The sequence below is a fragment of the Homo sapiens genome, chromosome 4 (genome assembly GCF_000001405.40).
Source record: "Homo sapiens chromosome 4, GRCh38.p14 Primary Assembly".
NCBI lineage: Eukaryota > Metazoa > Chordata > Mammalia > Primates > Hominidae > Homo > Homo sapiens.
In genome coordinates this window covers 66,602,205-66,609,973 of record NC_000004.12, presented here as the reverse complement: position 1 = coordinate 66,609,973, position 7,769 = coordinate 66,602,205, and the positions used below count along the sequence as shown (strand labels likewise).

Below are 7,769 nucleotides of genomic sequence, written 5' to 3'. Positions count from 1 at the left end.
ACCTGGATCTGAGACAACTTAGAGAGCCGAGCAAAATACAGGTTAGAGGAAGCAGCAGGAAAAAGCCCTGTGGGCTTCTGGGTCCCCAGGGAAGCCATTTCTGATTTGTCTCAGTGGTCCCTGGGGAGGGCTGCCAGAGGAACTGGAAAAAGACCACAGAGAGAAGCAAACCTCTAGCAGAACTTTGTAACAATCCCAACCAAATGTGAAGTTTCCTGGCCAGAACCCAGGGGAGGGCTTGAATCTGATGTGCAGACTTGGCAGGGTGGGAGAAGCAAAAGCCCTGCTTGCTTTCTCCAGGAGGCTGAGAGCCTGGGGCAAGTTCTCAGCCGTGCTTGCCCACTGCCAGGAAACAGACTCAGTCAGTGCTGTTCGGTGGGGAGCACAGTGGGAGTGAAACCAGCCCTTTTGGTTGTGTGGAACCTGGGTGAGGTCTGTAACTTCCGGCTTCTCCCCCGCCCCCCAACACCCCTTCTCTGACAACCTGCATGGCACAGCAGAGGTACCTAAAATCCTTTGGGAACATTAACTCCATTGACCTGGGAACCACACCCCCAAACCCCACAATGGTGGCAGCAAGCCTCGCCCAAGGAGAATCTGAGCTCAGACATGTCTAATTCTACCCCCACTTGATGGTCCTTCCCTACCCACTCTGGTAGCTGAAGACAAAGGTAATATTCTCTTACAAATTCTAGGGCCTAGCCCACAGCCTGGTCCTCCCTATACTACCACAGCTGATGCTCTTGAAAGTGTCACCTCCTGGCAGGAGGCCAACCAGCACAAAACTAGTACAATAAAGAACAATAATACATCTAAGGGCTTTTACAGAGTCCCTTTACCTCCCCAGCCACCTCCATCAGAGAAAGTGTTGGTATCCATGGCTGAGAGACCTGAAGAGGGTCCGCATCACAAGGCCCTATGCAGAAACCCTCAGTACCAGCAAAGGGCCTGCTAGCCCTACTTACTGGGTGACTAGATCTGGAAGAGAAATAACAATATCACTAGAGTTCAGCTCTCAGGAAGCCACATCCTTTGTAAAAGGAGGAGAGTATTACATCAAGGGAGAACCCTGTGGGATAAAAGAATCTGAACAGCAGCCTTGAGCCCCAGATCTTCCCTCTTGACATACCCTATACAATGAGAAGGAACCAGAAAAACAACACTGGTAATATGACAAAACAAGGTTCTTTAACACCCTCATATAATCATACTAGCTCAGAAGTAATGGATCGAAACCAGAAAGAAATCTCTGAATTGCCAGAAAAAGAATTCAGAGGGTTGATTATTAAGCTAATGAAGAAGGCACCTGAGAAAGGTGAAGTCCACCTTATGGAAATCCAAAAAATGATACAAGATATGAGGGGAGAAATCTTCAGTGAAATAGTAAATAAAAAACAATCACAACTTCAGGAAATAAGGACGCATTTAGAGAAATGGAAAATGTACTGGATCTTCTTCATAAAAACTTAAGAAGGAAGTCCATCCAGAGGTAAAAACATGCATAATTTGAATAATAAAAGTGAAGTACCATCACACTTGTATTTTATACAAGAACAATAAAAATTTTTAGATACAAGTCCTGTTAAAGTTCTATGAAAGCGCAAAACTTTATTTCAAGCAATAACATGATTAAGCAAAGTTTTGTTTTGTTATTAAGGATAAAGAGGTTCCATAAATTTACCCTCACTAAAAATGACTAAGATGTGTTTTCTACTCAATGTCGTATTATATTAATCATTTATGTTTCTCAGAACTACTTTCTCCTGACTAGGTGGCAGAAAGGAAGCTCACGAAATTATTCTAGGCCTTCATTAAAAATGGATGTTTCACTAACACAGCTATTGCTGCTAACCAACAGCAAAATGGTGACAGCAATTTCTCACTTACAAGTATTTGACAATTGGCGTGAACATTAAAAGCCCTCAAAATTTGTATTTGCTTTTTTGGAAAATAATGAAAAAGTTAACATTATGTCAAGCTATCTAACTGATCACATTAGATTGGATTTATGCAAACTCCTCCGTGGATTTTTGAAAGCTATTTTCCCATCTCCAACTGCCCCAGTATATTGTAAACTTTTAATTGTTTTAATTTATGGAATAACTTTAATTATAATGTGAATCTATTAAATTTCCTTCAAACAATAATTTACTTCTTGAGATGGTGATGGTGATATAGGAAATCCACATATATGACAGATCATAGCCAAGGTTTTACTAGCAGGGGCTTAAAGAATTTGAAAAAGGAAAAAAATATTAATAAAGTGTTTATTCCATGTACATTTCTTACTTGGAGTCCTCATATAAACCCTTCTAGGGTCTCAGCTTTGCATCTTTCATTTTCTACTGGGAAACTTAAGAATTTGGAATTGAGGAAAGCCCCCCATAAATCACTAAACATAGAAGTGGATTCAAAGCTATTTAGAAGCTAAATAGCCTTTCTCTATCTGAAAATTCACTTCACATCTGAAAATTAAACATCTTTGCCTTATTGATTTTTATATATTCATTTTCAAATAAGTTAAAGATCATTTTACACATACTCATATTGGGCTGTAGTTTTTCTTTTTCAGCTAGCAAACATAGGATATTGTGTTTATCCTTTTATTTCCCCACATATGTGGACTGAATATTATCCTAACTCAGACTATTGTTGGCTGAAGCACATTTATATTTGCACTGTAAAACCAAAGTTACAGCAGTTAATCTAAAAGGTCAGTCCATGAAGGATTATCTAAGGCAAAGTTTAGCATATAGAAGTCAAAGATCATGCAACTTCCCTGCTGGACCCTCTGTCAAGCCATGCTTACTGTCACCATATGGTTGTACACAAAAAGAAACCATTAAGAGGCTGGGGAAGAATCAGTGGAATTGCCAGCATAGATAAGGATCTGACACTCCTGCTGTGTGTTCACAATAAACCAACTTACCTATTCAATTCTACAATTTAACTGTAACACTAGGTCATACTGTGCATGGAGTTGCAAGTCTCTTTGTTTTTAGCAAAATGCCTTTTCACTAAATAGCCATGCATGCTGCCTGGATATTATTCCATTTATCCTTATGATAGTCTCATGAGGAAGGCAAATGACAAGGCTCATAATTTTTACCTTATGAAAGGGAGAGGTGTCAAAGGTGAAAGGAGACCTATTATTTTATCACATGCGAAATAAAAATAGAGCACATAAGAATATTTATATATGATAAATGCTCTTTTATTATAGTTATATTTCCATTTGGAGGTATGTAAAGGTTATAACTGATATGTGATTTTTAATCTTTGACTCTATTTGTATGTATACATTTTTTGTCTTCAAAAAAGTCCATATCTAGTGATACTGTTGGTACAACTAACTAAATAAACACTAATGCTATGTGTTTACATAAAAACTGTTAAAGATTGACTAGTGTAAAATTCCCTGTCAAAAATTTTAAGAAAAATATCTATGGAATGTTTTAAATTATTTATAGAGATTGGAATACTTAAATTCTTGTTTTGTAAATCATACATTATAAAATCTAAAACCACTGGTTTGCTGGAGCTGGCTTGTGTCAACTCTGAGAGCAGATTGTTAAATTTGAGTTATGCAAGCTGGTTGTCAATACAGCCATTATAACATACACACACTCATATGCATATACATAATATACAATCATATTAAAGATACAAGTAATAAATACTAAATCTTATTTTCTAATTATGTCATTGCATGTTGCTATTCTCTATGTTCTTGAAGATAATAATAGCTATCATATCTGTATGTTTAAAATACTATATGACATTCTGCTATTGAGCATCTCTTCCCACCATCACTTTCAGTGAAATCACCTTGGTAGCTTGAAGTCGACCATGGTAGAAGTATTTACGCCACTACAATCAGCAAATTCTACACATCGGAACTTGATTTATATATTTTTTTTATTCGTTGTCTAAATCAGGAGTCAGTAAACTACCACCTGTGGGTCAACTGCCAGTTTTAATAAAGTGTTATTGGAACTTTTCACTCTAATGGCAGAGTTGAATACTCGCAATAAAGACCATATGGCTGACAAGCCTAAAGTATATACCGTACGGTCCTTTAAGAATTTTGCAAAATCCTTGTCTGGGCTGAAGAAAACAATAGATACATGTTGGTAATGCAGCTGAAATTTAAAAGTATGTGGCATCATTAGCCATTACTTTATGAATAACATGAAGGAATTAGAAACTATTCTTTCATTATTTTGATAATTCAGCAAAGAAATCTCTAACATCATTGATGAAAGAGTGAAGTCCCAATATATGTCTTCTTTGTTTTACTTGCACCTTGCTCATGAAGGTAAACAAAAATATCCACCAACATTTATGTCAGATCTACATTTATTTATCACCTACAACTAGAGTTGTTAATGGATATAAGAGTTCAGCAAAAATCAACAAAAGCATATTGTTGGAATCAGTTGTCTATATGAAATTAATAATAAATTATAGTGGATATTTTAATATTTGTACAGTGTGTCACACAACATTTTTATCTGTAAAATTTTAGTAAAGATATATGTATGTGCATATATAGGTAGTTGTTTTGAGAGCCATTGTTATCCATTTACCAGCACTCCACTTTCTAAAGCTATGCTCCTTACTTCCCTTAAAAGTACTTCAAAGGTATCTAGCTGCATTACATATTATACAACTGTACTATAATACATACTATATGAATACCTAACACAATGTGCAGTTTTATCATGCATTTTTTATGTTAGTTACCAAATGATTTACAAAATTGGCTACATGAGTTTATTCTCTATTTCAAATTAAAATTATTGAAATCTGGAATTAAAATATTGGAAAAATTTATGCAAAGAAAAAGCTTGATTGTTATGCTAAGAAGATATTACACCATTGCAATTTTCTAGAAAAATTGTAATACTAATTTGAATACAGCTTAATACATTGGTTTAGTTGTGTATTGAAAGGCTGCCATTTTAGTTACAATGGATTTTTAAAAAATAACTATCAAATGCCTGTTACATTTTTTATTTGATCATTAATGAGTAACATCAAACATATAAATAGCCTGAAAGTCACTCTTTAGTGTATAGTCTTATGGATAAAAATATATATACTCTATCTTTCTGTACAATCAAGAAGCCAAGATTTATTACTTTCATTTTTCACAAAATAGCAAAAATCACCTTATTAATAGATTGCCACTGTAAAGACTGAATTACTTTCTCATCTAGTTAGGACTCCAGGTGGAGTCAATAATTTCACATTCATTGAGAGAAATGAAAAGAGACTATAATCCAGAGCTGCGTAATTCAGTATCTCAAAGAATTTCATATTCAGCGTGAACCTACCAAGCTTACTTAATGAGTATTTCATTGTTGAATGACCCCCTTGCAGTTTGATTGTGAGTGTGCTATTCTATAGTGCATTTCAGAAATTAGATTTTGAAGCTTTAATGAAAGTAAATTTCAGTACTCTCAACTGTAACTATACACAATGTAACCAGACAAAAAGTTGAAAACAATAGAAACTAAGAAGAACCTAGTAATGTATTGCTTAAATAAACTAAAACTGAAACAAAACCAAGTTGTTTCAGCTAGTTGGTTAAATCTGTAATCTATATCTGCATAAAGGAAACAGAATGTCATGTGTGGATACCAGGGTTAATAGAAAGATTAAACAGTAATTTTTCTCTACAGGACAGAGGAAGCTACAGAACTGAGAGATGAAGAATTTTGTCTATGGAATGCATGCATATGTTTATCTAGTTTTGACTAACAATTAAGGAAAGACTTTTCTTTTAGGAGTTTATGTCAACTCAGGGAATCTTAGGGAGCCAAGTTACATAAGGCTGTTTTCTAGATAGATAGATAGATAGATAGATAGATAGATAGATAGATAGATAGATAACATATATATTGATAACATGATAACATGTGTGTGTGTGTCTCTCTCTCTTTATATATATATAGTGTTATCAAGCCTAAATTATGTCTTTGTCCTAAGCCTGCCATATTGAGGTTTTCTTTCTTGTCATAATTTAGGACCAATCTCAGTCAATTTTTTCCTCTTACATTTAGAGGGAACTTAAGAATCTGATTGTAGTGCTTACTACCCATGCAGCCATATGGGAGGCAAGTGTCACGTGAAAGGGGGACCCAGGCTAGGTCAAAAGAACAGAGTATTTCTCAAAGATTTCAAAGGGAGAATGTGAATCACACCTGAGAAGTGATAAAATAAAGTTGTGAAGATAAGACAGAGAGTACAAAGTGATGCCAAAAAGAGATTGACAGCAATGTCTGTAGGTAGTAGCAACAGCATATTATAACAATTGGCACATATCTTGACCATGAACATCAAGATCATGCTAGAATTTGCTGTTGACTGATGCAGGCGACCATTTCAGCCCATGGAGTTATCTGTGGGAGCTATAAAAACCCTGATGCTCAGGCCACAGCCCAGAACAATGAAATTGGACTATCTGAAGGTGGGACCCAGCCAACTATATTTTTCAAAGCTTCCCAGATAAATCCAAAGTTCAATAAGATTTAGAAGTCTGTCTTAAAGATAATTAAAGTTTTTTTTTCTTCTCTCCTGATTGCACATTATAGTCATCTGGGAGTGTTGATGATGTAACAATGCCTGATTGTGTCCCCAAACGAATCTACTCAGAATCTCTGGGGATGAGCCCTTGGGATGGGAATTAGTTGAAATACAGAATTTTGTAATGCCACTATCTTTTTTACCACGCCTCTATCTTTTCACTGAAGTGGTTCTGAGACAATAAGAAAATTAGCTTCAGTAAATTCAGAACTACTCCTTTTCTGAGAAAAATGAGAGTAATAATTTACATCTTAAAAGCTATCAAGTTTTTCTTCACATATAAACTTTGCACTTGACTTACTGTTTCAATTTGATTACTCTGCGTGTAAATATCTATTAAATACAAATTAACATTTTATATATTGTTATTTTATATTATCATTTTTTTATACAAAACCTTCATTTGATTAGAAATTTCTAATGCTGAAAACATATAACTTTTTTCAGTGTCATCTAGTTAAAGGAACTAAAATAGAAACTCCCTAAAACCAATTCAACCACCAAGGTTCCATTCCTTCAGTCCCTGTTTTGTAATTATTCATTGTCACAAAAGTCAAAGCATGTGAGTAATATTGTACTTGAATACTCAGAAAGGAAATTGTTGCATAAATAATTAATGCTGTGAAAGGTTAAACTTAATTGGAAAGTAGGTGATGTTTCTCTTGCCAGGGTTACAGACATTGAAGGTGAATAGTCTGATAGACTTATTTACTGAGGGGAAAATGAATGCTAATGGGTAGCTTTTTGTGTTATGCAGATTCACCAATATAATTTCTCACTAATAATTAATCAGCTGTGAAGAGAAAAATAGAATGCTGTGGTTAAAATTTTTGTATTGTACATATTTATGGGATACAGAGTGATATTTTGATACATGTATACAATAAGTAATGACCAAATCAACATAATTAGCATATCCATCACCGTGAGCATTTATCATTTCTTTGTGTGGTGAACATTTGAACCCTCTTTTCTAGCTTTGTGAAAATATACAATAAATTAGACTTAATCATGTTCACCCCACAATGCTACAGAACACCAGAACTTATTTCTCCTATCAGTTATAATTTTATATAAGTTAGTCAATCTCTCCTCATCCTCCCTTTCCCCTAAACTTTCCAGCCTTTATTATCCACAATTCTACTCTCTACTTTTATGACTTTAATTTTGTTTTTCTT

General features: G+C 34.9%; 1 annotated feature.

Annotated features, from left to right (window-relative positions):
- Positions 2,636–3,214: an enhancer, noted in NCBI's record as "NANOG hESC enhancer chr4:67472478-67473056 (GRCh37/hg19 assembly coordinates)". NCBI's record gives its function as "activates a minimal SCP1, AML or CMV promoter by ChIP-STARR-seq in primed H9 embryonic stem cells {active_cell/tissue: H9 hESC(primed)}" and the evidence as "EXISTENCE:reporter gene assay evidence [ECO:0000049][PMID:30033119]".